General features: G+C 42.0%; 1 long non-coding RNA gene across 4 annotated transcripts in view; it reads left to right on the forward strand.

Moving 5' to 3' along the window:
* Nucleotides 1-13,330, forward strand: part of LOC105373891 (uncharacterized) — an 87,352-nt gene extending 74,022 nt beyond the window's left edge. For 3 of the 4 annotated variants that reach the window (XR_001739888.2, XR_923928.3, XR_923929.3), the window contains 3 exons: nt 2,770-2,926; nt 9,434-9,527; nt 13,099-13,330. This is a non-coding gene — a long non-coding RNA (uncharacterized LOC105373891). The remainder of the gene's footprint in view (nt 1-2,769; nt 2,927-9,433; nt 9,528-13,098) is intronic. The other variant, XR_923930.3, reaches the window with a different exon arrangement.
* Nucleotides 13,331-14,409: the final 1,079 nt, after the last annotated feature.

Raw genomic sequence — 14,409 nt, forward strand, 5'->3', positions numbered from 1 at the left:
ATAAAGATAATTCAGTTTGTTGGAACTTTAAAAAAATTATAAATAATTGAGTAAAGTTCCTTGGAACTTCATAATTTGTTCTTGGTAATGTCATTTACATTCAGGTTGGCTGTTGGATTTGAGAAAACCGCTAGCAATTTTCATTTGTAATTGAGCTGTTACAGACGATGTACTTAGTTTGTGGTGCTGCTATGGGTTTTTTCCAGTAGATCCAATAATTCTGATAAATTTATTTCACATGTTTCCCATGAAAAAGAAAAAAATCAATGGCGCATTTATAATTATATATGCTACATTATTGAATGTATTTCCTCAGTAAGAGAGAACCTTTGTTCTTATTAGGCAATAAGAACCAAATCTTCCACTTACATTTGTAAATCTCTGATGATTGTAAGAATTTTTCACAGACTGGCTTCTGGTTCCATACATTTCAAATTACATTTCTTCTCTAATACCCACATACTTCCCTCCCGGGTGCCGTAAGAACTCTGAGTATTTTGATATGGCCTTTGGCCCTGGTCCTAGTGCCAGATAAGTGGGCAGAGTGGGTGGTAGGGGTGTTCCTACACCAGGACAGTCATCAGTAATTTCACTATGCACAGAAGTGACTGTGAACCACCAAAATACACCCACTGAACTCAGACGAAATGTGCCCCAACTCAACTTCCTTTTAGCTTGATTTCTAAAATGGCTATGGCCACTCTAACACCTGGCATGACGGAAAAGCTGGATAGATAGTAAATGTGAACAGAAAGCCTTACTAATTTTAACACACGGCAACTAAAATATCTTACTTTTGCACATTTTAAAAAGCAATTGACCATATGCACCATTGCTACGAATCCTCAACTGAACTTTGTGACAAACTCACCAAGTAATTGCAAAAAGATCATGTCACTGACTGGGAGAGAACAGCTTGAAAAAGACACATTATCTTGAAATGATTTCGATGAATGCTAGCTGATCACCTAACTCAGAGGTTAAAAAAGAAGGAGGCAAAAAATTTAGTGCAATTTATTAATTAATCCTGAGGTGATGGCCTCATAACTACAAGCATTGGATGCCATTATCAACCAGCCTTTTAAAGACCACTTGAAAAAGCAATAGATATTACGTTATAGGAATTTTGATGAACGACAACACATCCTGTTCTACAGTTAGGAGACTGGGTACTTGTGCATTGGGATAAAATATCCAGTGCAACACTTAACAGTTCAATTTCATACACAACCTAGATGGGAGTGAAGATGGTCTGCTCTGGAAAACTATAATATAAACACACTGCTATCTGAATTGTTTGTGAAGATTTTAATACAATTGTTTGATGAATTGTGAGAATTGAAAAGGCAGTGTTGTATGATTTTTTATAAATCTTAAAGTATATATGTATAACTAAATAAAATATTATAACTAGATCTAATTATTCCAACCATATCTCCACCGTATTTAACCATATTCCAACCATAACAAGCAGCTGCAAAACCTCAGTAGTATAAGCAACAGGCATGCATTTACCACTCTTGTGTGTGTGTGCAGGCCTCCTGGGGTTGCCCTGGGCTAGCCTAGGCTCTCTGGGCCAGGCTCTAGGATGTGGGCTCTGTTCAAGTTGGTGTCAGGTGCTCTCATTCTTCTGAAACAAGCAGGCTGCCCAGGCATTTTCTTCTCTGGCAATGGTAGAAACATGTAAGATGAAGTCCAACTATGTAAGATGCATGTACGATAAAGCCCAACTATGCAAGCACAGCTCAAGCCTCTGCCTGTGTCCTATCCACTAACATGCCATTGGCCAGCAAGTGATGGGGCTGAGTCCAAAGTGAAGGGGCAGAGACACAGTTTCCATTTGCCTTGAGATGACAGTTGGTCTCACGGCCAAGTTCTGCATCAGTGGGCAGGGTCAGACTTATTCTGAAGTCTGCTATAACAAATTACCAAAACCTTGATGGCTTAAAACAACAGAAATTTATTATCTCCAAGTTCTGGAGGCCAGAAGTTCAAAATCACTGTGGCTGGACTGAAACCAAGATGCTGGCAGAGCTGCGCTCTCTCCAGAAGCTCTAGAGAAGAAGACATTCCTTGTGTCTTCAGTTTTTGGTGGCTGCCAGCCTTCCTTGGCTTGTGGTTACATCATTCCAATCTTTAAGGCAAGCATCTTCAAGTCTCTCTCTCTCCTCCTTCTTCACATCGCCTTCTCCATGTGTGCCAAATCTCTGTCTGCCTCCCTTTTCTGAAGACACTTGTGATGGCACTTAGGTCTCACTTGGACAATTCGGAAAACCACACGGATCTCATGATCATTGACTTAATCACATCTGTGAAGTCTTTGCCATGTAAGGCAACATTTACAGTTTTCAGGGATTAGGACCTGATATTTTTGGTAGCCACTGTTCTGCCTGTGAATACCACAATTCTTAAAAATGTATAGGTCAGAATAAAAATCTTGTATTTGGAAATGATGAATCGTTGCATATTTAGAATGGCACTATATTTGGTAATTTAATTGGTTATGTGGAATTAGAAAGATTGGGAATTAGGGCAAACACTTGCATTCAGGTGTTCAAGCCTTAAATCCAAAGCCTTTAACAGCTCAGCTGCACAGCCCTACTAAACTTCCCTGCCAGCTGCCTTTAAGTCTCTGACCCCTTGACCTTTGACCATTCCCTTTATGGTAAGATATAGAAAAATGGTCAAAGAGAGACTGATTTCAGTGGTTTCGTGGGGCCACTAGATACAGACAAGAGGTAATAAAATCTGTATTTTATTGATATTCAGGCCAGAATCCTGCTAGGACATCTCTGCCTGTGGAAGGAGGGCTGGATGGCATACTGGGAATGGCTTTCTAGGATGACTTCCTGTTGCTACAGACTACAAGAAGCATTTCTGGCCTTGATGTTGTCTGAATGAAGAAGACATAGGAGTTTCACCAAAGGTAAGAGGCTTTTGTGACCAATTTCTTTTTTTTGTTTTTCTTCAGACGGAGTCTCGCTCTGTGGCCCAGGCTGGAGTGCAGTGGTGTGATCTTGGCTCACTGCAACCTCCGCCTCCCAGGTTCAAGTGGTTCTCCTGTCTCAGCCTCCTGAGTAGCTGGGATTACAGGCACCCGCCACTGCGTCTGGCTAATTTTTGTATTTTTAGTAGAGATGGGGTTTCACCATATTGGTCAAGCTGGTTTCGAACTCCTGACCTCAGGTGATCCACCTGCCTCAGCCTCCCAAAGTACTGGGATTACAGGCATGAGCCACCGCGCCCAGCCTCTTGTGACCAATTTCTTAGAGACTTTGGAGATTTGCTTTGGAGGTGAGGAAACTGTGTAGCTTAGAGTTTTCAAGTGCATGGCAGCTTAAGGAGATGCCTCCTAAGAATATAAAGCTCATGTTTTTGTTAAATATAATGGAATCTTAGAGGTGGAAATAATAGGGTAAGTTTAGTCCAGTTGCCTAACTTTACAAATGGAGTAACTGACACCCTGGTTGATTAAGCTTTGCCAAAGTTACAGTATTTGCTCCAGGGCATGGACTAGAACCCAGGTGTTTGGAGGCCAGGCTCAGTGTTTTCCCACTGAGATGATGCAATAGATGCCATTTGTTTGGGCTGCCTGGCTTGCAAGGACTTCTCTTTCTCTGGGAAGAGACACAGGGGGATTTTTACCAGCATATTGATTACATTCATTGAATGGCATGAAGGCGTCTTGTAGAATTACACAGAAATATCCTGAGCTTGCTTTTAGATATTGCTGCTTTTATTCTGTAGAGTTGATTGAACCTGCTGCTATATATCTAATTTATGCAAAGCTTGTGACACAGGGGGATTGATCCCATAGGCCACGGTTGTACGGTATGGCCCTGCCTCCCTGTTGAGGGGAGGGTCTCCTGCCCACTCCTGCCCACGAATCTGAAATCTGAAGCGGTGACACCTGGAGAATGGCAGCGGATGCCGCCATCACTTTGTAGTTGTGCTCTGAAAAGAAGGCAGCATGGAGTCTGTGCTCTAAAAAGAAGGTCGCTTGGAGTCTTGACTCCCAACACTCATCAGCTCTGTAACTTGGAGCAAGTTACTGATTTCCCTTTCCTCAGTTTTCTCATCTGTCAAATGGAGACAGTGATACCTACCTCGTGACATTGATTCAAGGACTAAATGAGAAAACATCTTTAAAATGTGTACAGCAGTGCCCGTTACACAGTAAATACTGAGCATTTCTGAGTTACTTATCTCCTGCTGGGGGCCAGGAGAGCCCTCTGAGGCGCCTGTGCTTTCTGAGTCCTGCTTATTCAATTCTCCTTTGATTCTGGCTAATAACCTGAGATCCTTCCAATAAACATCTTTCCTTAAACAGGCCAGAATCAGCTTCTGTTTCTTGAAACAGAAATAACTTTAAAAAATTACCGATGGTCATGCATAAGAGCACCTACATTTTAGGGAGATTATATAGAACGTGATGGCTTTCACCCCGATGTGTGAGTGTGTATGTGTGTGTATCCTGGTAGCAAAAAATAAGAGCACACATTCTATTTGAGAAAAAAATTAAAAATCAATATTTGAGGGGAGGCGTACTAAAAAGTAATGTGTACTGATGATACTTTACATCTGTGAATGGAAGTTGAGCCAGTTAAATCTATATAAAGAGGGGACAGACAAATTGATCCAGATAATGATGTGTAGTGAAATGGATCATCATTAATATATTCAAGAGCTTATTATCAATGCTTAAATTACCAAAATATTGACTTAAGTAACTTTATCTGTCAATGCTAGTAGAGAAAATTGCTGCATCTCACCATATTTATCACCTCACATAGATCTATATAGATATAATATACAACTATAAATAAAGTTCAGCTATTCCATTTAGGGGAGAAAGATCATTTTGTTAGCCTATATTTCATAACATTAGAGGGACTGATTCCTAATATTATGCACCAAATACACTATTGTTTAGCAACTTGCTGTCTTTGTGTTTTGCATAAATTAGATATATAGCAGCAGGTTCAATTAACCCTACAGAATAAAAATAGCAATTTCTAAAAGCAACTTCAGGATATTTCTGTGTAATTCGACAAGATGCCTTTGTGCCATTCAATGAATGTAATAAATATGCTGGTAAAAATAGCATTTGCATTGAATCTGGAGTGGAAAATAGAATCAGTGGGGGATAATAATAAATACTGAATCTCCAAATGAATCTCCAAATCCATTAAGACTTTTAATGTTGTATTTGAAGCTCATAACTCCAGGCAATTCCCTAACTTAGCTTTGGCAAATGTTTATTTTGAGAAATGCTCAGTTGTCTGTTTTACAAGCTGGTTCTCTTTCACCTAAAACTTTCCATAAGAAAGTTGTTGGCATAAAAATTAACTCCATTTTTGGAAGTCTTGGGCTCACCTGCTTTAGGGTTGCGGACATACATGAAAGGAATAATGACCGTCTGAACAAGGAAGAATCTGAGAGGATATCATATCCAGCCTTGTATTCACAGATTGGAAATTGAGGCTGAGAATGATGAGGTACCTGTGCAAGATCACACAGGAATTTGGTAGGGCCAGGATCATGCTCAGTCCCAATCCAAAACTCTTTTCACCACATCCATGTTAACTGTCACTTTACACACAAAGAGACTGTACCCTGGAGAGGTTAAGTGACTTACTAAGAAGGTCAGATGGCTAGTTAATGGCTGATGGTGACTAGCAGGCCTCTTAAGGTTTGTCTTCTGGTTTTGATCTAATTCTGATAAAGAACTGAGCCAATGGGCCCTGCAAACTGTCCTGTGATCTAAAGATGACTTCTATATCTTCCCAAATATATATCTTCCTAGGTTTTGCTTTAATGAGGGAGATACCCCTTTTGTTAATTTTCAGCCCAATGTCTAATTATGAAAACTACCCTTGGGAAAAATATTGGCTCAAATTTGTCCTAAAGCACTCTGGATTTACCCAGACCTCACCAGCTAGTGAGTACAAACAAGATCCCAGTAACATTAGGACCAATGTTTTTCTGGCTCATGGCCTCCGCTGGCATAGACAAAAGTAGATTGGGCTCCTAGCTTAGGCTTTTCTGGGATATCTGGCCACATAGGGGTATCAATGACAAGTAGGGATGAGAAGCAGAGGTGCTAGTATCAAACTTCGCCTATCATGCCATTGTCCCTTTAGACAGTTCCGCATATACCCAGAGATGCTTCAACAACCTGGCAGTTGCTTTCTATAGCCCTGTTGCTCGTGTCAATGACTAATTTTTCTTCGTCTATTAAACTTGTGACTTCTCTTCCTCAATTCATTCACTCAACAGATTCGTATGGAGCTCCCATCTATTAGGTTCCAGGAACTAGGGATACCATGATGAATGGCCAGATGTGGTCCCTAGCCTGATGGAGCTTATATTCTGGAGGGAGACACAGACAATAAATACATAAGCAAACAACATACCAAAGATTTCAGGTTACGATAAGTGCAAAGTAGGAACTATACAAAGTGTTATAATAAAGAATAATGGTGGGTGTGAGAGCAAACCAACTTTGTGTAGTGGGGTCAAGAAAGGCCTCTGAGAGGATGACACTTAGGCTGAGGCCTGACAGATGAGGAAGGGCCAGACATATGGGGACCCAGGGAAGGAGGAATTCCAGGTAGAGCATCAACAAGGGTGTTGACACGAGGCTAATATGGCTGAGGGGTGTTGAGCAAGGAGGAGAGAGCCAGGAGATACATTTCTAAAAGAGACCTAGACGAATAATTGATCCACATTGTTAGGAAGAGGGAAGGCTATTGCTATAAACAGAGGGTGAGGAAGAAAATATTTGGCTCCTATGTTTTTACTCCTCCTGGATATATGCGGTATCCATGTGTTGTGGATACTGTAGTGCTGAGTGCAGATCTCTACTCCAGGGTTGATAGTGCTGTGTGCAGATCTCTACTCCAGGGTTGATGTACCCATCCTAATCCTGGCAATATGACTGTTCACAGCTGTACCTATTACTGGGAATTCCCCCTTCCCCTACAGAAGGCAACTACCCAAAGTTATATCCATCACCCCTCTTCTGAGAGGAGCCCATGATCAATGACTTCTTGATGTGGAGATCCGAAAGTCTGGGATTCTTGACTCAATTTGGGGTGACTTTCAAGGACCATTCTAGCTCCACAAAGCATTGTGAGGTCTCTTCCCAATCTCACATTCTTTTTTTATTCTTTATAGGCTTATCTCTTGTAAAATATCCACAACCCGATAAACATTCAGCATGCAATTCTCCATATTAGAGATTATTTTTGGGCAACTCAATCTAATATAGTTAGTCCTAGGTGTGTCCCTAGAATGCTGACTCCAAAATGGAATTTTGGATATGAGTCACCATTTATTCACCATTTATAGCCAGTGATGGCTGGCAATATCTAGCCCTGGTGGGATAGTCCCTAGCAGACTGAGTTATTGCAATTGTTAAAACTTTCACTAACAGTGAGCTGAAATGGGATACTAGTGGAAGGGGGGCTGGTGCAATATTATTGGCTATTGAGGAGTGTGAGGAAAGTGGTAACTTTAAGGACTATGGCATTGGGTGACTGTTGCTGAGTGCCATTAATTCCTTGAAGAGCAGCAATAGCAGGCTCAGGGTGATTAATCAACCATTTCAAAATGTGAAAGCTAGAGGTCTCCTTGGCAGCATTTAAGAAAACCCTAATCTACAGGTAGAGGGAAGACAGACTAGAGAACTTATTCTTCAGAGTAGTGGAGCTGCAGAGAGGGTTGAATTCTTAAGCCTTGGCAGGTCTCCTATGCTAAAGTTGAGGACCTTACGGAGAAGGAGAAGGAGCTACCTTCATGTGATGGGAATATGTGAGTGGATGCACTTTAGAATTTTGAGCTCTCAGGTTCTTCCAAACTTGCTGGGCCTGCAGAAGTGGCACATCCCCCTTGTTAGAAAATAGTGGTTCCCCTTTGTTTGCTTGAGGTTCTTGAGGAGGGCTCAAGTGAAGCAGATGACTTATAAGATAATGCCTTGCTGTCTCAACATCTACCTCTCCATGTCCCCTCTTTTTCTCTTCTTTTCTTTTTTTTTCCATTCGACAAATAATGAGGGTTGAGTTATGATATAACCAGGCTTGGGAGGAGCTGGGCCTGCTGAGGGAGGAGCGGGACCATACAATAAAGTAGCCACAGGTCCTGGCCAACATGTACCAGCAGGAACTGGGAGACTATGCATGGGACTGGAGCCTAAAGAATAAGTGGGGCATAAATTTGGATGGGGAGAGTTTACCAATATGGAATTCTACAATATATAATTTAATACACTAGCAAGGATTCCAAGAGATGGTACAAGGATTCCAATATGCTTCTAAAATGGCTCCTAGAAACTTGGAGAAAGTGAAGGTCCACCTACACTAAGTGAAGTAGAGGATATGACAAATGACAGAGGGAGGAATAAAAAGACTCAAAAAAGTGGGCATGCTAGAGTAGATACACTGCGTTAAGACCAGAAAACCCACTGGTTGACTGAGTTATACAGGGAGTCCTAGAGGGACACCATCATTGATAAGAATATCAATAGGGATTGGCTCCTGTAGGCCAGGAATGATGGCAGGAGATGTCGTAATAGAACAGGACTCCCTGATTATAGGGATGCTAGGCTACTGAAGGGAGAGAGGCAGGTGGCTGCATCAAGGAGTGGGGTGAATGATTACAACGAGCAGTCAAAGCCAGAAGAACAGCCATGAGGCCAGCCTATAGAAAGATAAGGGGCTTGTTAGCAGATCATGGAACATGGTATTCCTAGAAGGAAGTTGGAAGGACAGCCAACAAGGATATTGCTTAGTTTATACAAATCAAAAGAAAACAAGAATTAAGAGGCTCATGGTTGTCACCTCAATAAAAACTTGTGATCTCTTGTCAAGTTTCTAGGCCTGAACTATTTCTCAGTTCCATACCCATTGATGGAATCTGGGCTGGGCCCTATGAAGAAGGACTCTAGTGTGGCAAGTGTAGTCAGTAGTAATTCCCTAGATTTTTTTCACAAAGGACCCATTTACTCCGATAATTATGCATTGGGGAAAGAGAAATAAGCTATTTTGATGATTGTTAGAGAGTCTGGACTGATAGTAATATCAGGAACCCCAAGTGCCAGCCTAGCCCCACTTTTAAAGTGAAGGTTATCAGGGCCAGGTAGTAAAGAAATCCTGGGGCAGACCTAGATTACGGTGGTTCCTCTGGATCTAGACCTACTTGCTTGTCATTTTCCTAGTCCCTGAATATGAAACTGGAATGGACTTACTTGGGAGTTGGCAAAATCCCCTTGACCTGAAGGGTAAGAGCTATCTTAGTGGAAGAAGCCAAGTGGAAGTCTCTGCTAGTGCCTCCTCCCTCTCTGAGCTAAAAATGAATCAGAAACAACACTGCATCTCTGACATCAAAGAACTAAAGAAGGCAGGACTGGTCATCTCCCTATTTTATTCTCCAGTATAGCTCCCTGAAACCAGATGGATCATGGCAGATGATAGTGGCTACTCTAAACTTGACCAAGTAGCTTCCACAATTGAAGTCCCAAGCTGGAGGTAAGGGTTTTTTTTTTTTTTTTTTTTTTTTTTCCCCTGGAGCAGATTAACACAGCCTTGGGCTAGGTATGTGGTCATTAATCTGACAAATTGACAAATGTGTCTTCTTCCATTTTTATTAGAAAATACAGTTTATATTTAGTATAACACATAAGAATAGTCATTTATAATTTTGTTCCAGGGCTATGTTAACTTTTCTCCCTTGTCCTGTATAATCTGAAGGGACAGGAACCATCTAAATATTCCTTAGAATATCACAATAGTCTACTATATTGATCATGTTATGTTAATCAGATTAGATGAACAGAAAGTGGCAGGCACATTGGAGATCTTGATAAGTTGTATGTCCTCCAGAGTATGGGAAATAAACTCTGTGAAGATTCAGGGGCCTGTCTCATTAATGAAGCTTTTAGGGTTCAATGGTGTGTGCCATGCTGGGACATATTCTTCAAGTAAAGGAAAATTTATTGCAACTTGCATTTCTCACTCACAAAAAAGAAGCACAGTGCTTCACGTTCTGGGGGCAGCATATTTTGTACCATTCTTACCTATTGACATGAGGTCATAGAAGTCTGTCTGGTTGAAGTGGGGCCCGGAGAAAGAAAGAGCTCTGCAGTAGGCCTAGGCTATGAAGGAAGCAGCTCTGTTGCTTGGGCCACATGGCCTGGCCATGTCTATGGAACTAGATCTACTGGTGGTAGTAAAAGAAAAAAAAGACAGCAAATGCGTGGTATTTATGGGAATTGCCAATAGGAAAATATCAATATGGATTTCTAGGACTTTGAAGCTAGGCCATTTCATCATCAGCAGAGAAGTACTGTATACACCACTCAGCAAGCAATGCCTGGCACACTGCTGGACCTTGGTAGAGATTGCATATCTGACTGTGGGACATCAAATGATTTGTCCATTATGAGCAGTTGGTGTCTAACCCCCCAAGTCATAAGGCAAGGTCAGCCCATCAGCATTCCATTTTTAAGATGGGAGTGGGACACCCAATGGCCATTGTATGGTGTTTTTCAATAGGTAGAATGCATAGGTCTGGAAACCATGGGAGAAGTAGTAATGGTCCCTCACCATCACCCTTGATGACTCACTTGGGGAATTGCTCCTTTCCTTTCCCACCACTGTAGGCTCTGTGGGTCTGGAAGTCCTGGTTCTCAGAGGAAGGATGCTTCTGCCACTGGCTGTGGCCCTTTGACCTTTAAACTGTGGCTGCTACCTAGTCACTTTGGGCTCCTTGTGCCAAGAGACCAGCAGCCAAGGAAAGAAATTCCATTCTGTTACGAGTAATTGATCCTCATTTTTAGGAAAAGGGAAGGCTATTGCTATAAACAGAGGGTGAGGAAGAAAATATTTGACTCCTATGTGATTTGCTGGGATAACTTACTTGGCTTTAATTAAAAAAATAATAACAAAAGTGAAGCCACTACTGCCTGAGAATGACATGAGAATCAGGAGCTAGGAACCCCCAGAAAGAAAGGTCTGGGTCATCCCACCAGATACACCATTTGGACTAACAGAAGTTCTAGCCAAGAGTGAAAGGAATCTAGAATAAATGTGGTGGAAGAGAATGATAAGTATCGGTTGCAGCCTTGAGACCAACTGTAACAGCAAGAATTTTCTTTTGTAAGTCTTTGTCTTATAAGTTTTTTTTTTTTTTTTTTTCTGAAAACAAGATCAACCAGAATATTGGAAAAACTGTTCCTATGATGGGGGCAGGCTTTGCTATAAAAAGCGAGTGGATCTGAATTTGTAAGGGGTAGGCTGCAACTGATACTGTTCTGCTCCATTCAGATCCCTCTTTAGAATAGATGGATCCATTCCTAGCTCCTGGGAATATTTGCTGATAATGGCTCACGGCTCTGTCCCTCAGTGGAAATTGCTTTGCAGTTCCAGAGAGCTGCCTCATCCAAGGTGTGCACCCCTTCCTACAAGACAGCTGATGGCCAATAGCTGGCTAATGTGGGTATAAAAGGCCTGGCCTCTTATCTCAATTTGGGACAACTCTCAGGGGCCATCCCAGCATCAGAGTCTCCCACTGGATAGTCTGAAATCTGTGTTGCAACCACATTGTGGGTCAGTTTTTTCCTCTGCATGATCCTGCCTTCCTCACTTCCCTACATCCTGACAGCACTCCCCAGTAAACCTTCAGAAGACAACTTTCCATCTCAGGGCCTATTTCCAAGAACCCCAGTTTAAGACACAATAGAAGTGGAAACATAAACCAATTCTTTGGTGCTTGTCCTTGAAGCCAAGGCCTAGAACCTTGATTGGATGGAAAGTATCTGTCCTCCTGGGAAAAGGGTATAAACAAGTTTGAACTATGTTGCTCTGAGCTGTTTGCATCTGGAGCCCAGGCCTCTGTTGGGGGTTTAAATTCATGAATGATTGTTATTCTGTGCCTCGGGGAAAATGTGTGGGTTTTGTGAACAGGGGAGGTAGAGTTGGGGGTTGTGGAGAGGACTTGGACTTGTGTTCTTGTAAAGGGAAGTACATTTTGTAACAGGGGCCATGTGATGAGGAATTCAGAGTAAAAGAGGGAAACAGAGGAAGGAGGTAACTCTTTCAAAGACATCCTGGGCTGCCTGTATTGGAGGTTTTGTTCGAGAAATACATTTGGGAGCAAGGGACCCCTTCCAGCCTCTCAGAAATCACACATTCCTTTCCTTTTGAACTATAAGTTGTGGCTGCCCTGTTTTCTGCCAGCAATGATGGGAAGGTAACCTTCATCACCTCATTCACCAGCCTCTCCTGACTGCCATCAACTTGAATAAACAAAGCCTCCGGGGGACGGGAAGTGCAGGGCAGTATTCAGGGTGACCTTGTTTAGCTTACCCGTGTGCTCTTGGTAGGGGAAGGGGGCTTGCATATGTGGTGAGATCTTGGTATTGGCTCCATTTCTTGCTGGGCCGTGGGTGGCCAGGTGCCATGGCTGGGGGCTGGAACTGTAGCTGGATACTCTAGCATGCTTCATTCCCACCTTCCTGGGTGGTACTGTGTCCCCAAGGCCACGGGGACTGGTCCAGCTTGTGCAAAAATGGGTTCCCTGCTCAGGTCTATAGATGAATTGCCAGGCAGAAAAATGAGATCTGCAGTAGGCTCTGCCAGCTGCAGCCTGTGGGCTGGAAGGTAGAGTGGGGGAAGGCTGCTGAATAGGCAGGGGTTTGTCATTTTTAGACCATGACTAATAAGAAATCTGGATTTTTTCAGTTGTAAAAACTCTTCCCACTCTTTCCTTTCCCTCTCCACAATGTAATAGCAAAAGTCTAAAGCTCTGGAGTTATTTTATGTTCTCTTTTGATGGCCTAAAGTGAATTAGAAGCTGGAAAACATTGTACATGGGAAACACTATATGTGTATTGTGTATTACATCTTAAGCTAAATGTTACATGAAAACAAATGGTTTAAGGGAGCTTGTGTGCACAAAAGAGGTTGGCAATCATTTTGAGTCCAACATTTGGCCCACATTAGCAATTTTCAAATATTCATGTTTACATTTGAATACAAAGATTTCTTATTTTCAAACCAACTGCTGCTGATCAGTAGCATAACTTCAAATTTGTTACAGCCTACAGGAATGAGGAAGCAGGAAGGGCCAGAGTGAAGTGGAAACTTTGAACTTGAAGTTGGAAGACACTGGTACTCATCTCTTCTATTTGCTAGCTGTATGATCTTGGGCAACTTATTTAATTTATCTTCCTCCAGTTTACTCATTGATTAAATGAAGGTAACAATTTTATCTCATAGGGATATGGGGATGATCGAGAGAGATAATAAAAGTGAAAGTGTTTTGAAAAGCATAAATTCTACATAAATGTTAATTATTATTATTAGACGCACACGTGAAAGTGGTGCCAGAGCTTAAGAGGATTCAGGTAAATTTCTAGTAAAATTCAGATCCTACTCCTAATTTTAAAATCCTGGCCGGGCGCAGTGGCTCATGCCTGTAATCCCAGCACTTTGGTAGGCTGAGGTGGGTGGATCACGAGGTCAGGAGATCGATACCATCCTGGCTAACACGATGAAACCCCGTCTCTATTAAAAATACAAAAAATTAGCCGGGTGTGGTGGCGGGTGCCTGTAGTCCCAGCTACTTGGGAGGCTGAGACAGGAGAATGGCGTGAACCCGGGAGGCGGAGCTTGCGGTGAGCAGAGATCGCACCACTGCACTCCAGCCTGGGCGACAGAGCAAGACTCCATCTCGGAAAAAAAAAAAAAACAAAATCCTAAGGAAAAATTCAGGCCCTGAAAAAGGGCCAGATGTGAGTCACAAACAGGAATATATAAAGCCCTAGGAAACATGGCTGTCACTGAACCCAATTCCTGGTTCCACCGTGTATTTTTCCATGAGTCCTATATCCTCACAAAATAACATTCTTTTTCTCTCCACATTTTATGATTTTATGTAGTTATTCATCACTAACCTTCTAGTCCTGAACAAGAGATACTTCTGTTCCATGGTCTACTTCCCTTGGAAATCATTACTGTTGCTTCCAGGTTTATCTCTTAGGACTTTTTCAGCCACTGGGACTTCAAACTCCACCGATTTTGCCTTAAAAAAAAGATTCATTCCAATTCTACAACATACCAGTTTCACAGAGTCGTTCACTAAAGCCGTCAAACATTTAATATAATTGCAATGTTAAGAGTTTAGTGCAAACTAAGCACTTCTACCCATACATCTTCTCATCACATTACAGACACTTCTGACAGCAATCAGACTGTGTGTTAGGACAAGGAGAGAGATACGCAACCAAGTTAAATCTGTGTTCTAAAGCCTTTGCTAAACTTTTCTATTTGCTATAGGGCCTTGTAGCTATTAGGGCGTTTTTGGCTGCAAGGAAGAGAAAAATCTCCATTCGGTCTGGACTAACCATAG

Source organism: Homo sapiens, chromosome 2 (genome assembly GCF_000001405.40).
Source record: "Homo sapiens chromosome 2, GRCh38.p14 Primary Assembly".
Taxonomy (NCBI): Eukaryota; Metazoa; Chordata; class Mammalia; order Primates; family Hominidae; genus Homo; species Homo sapiens.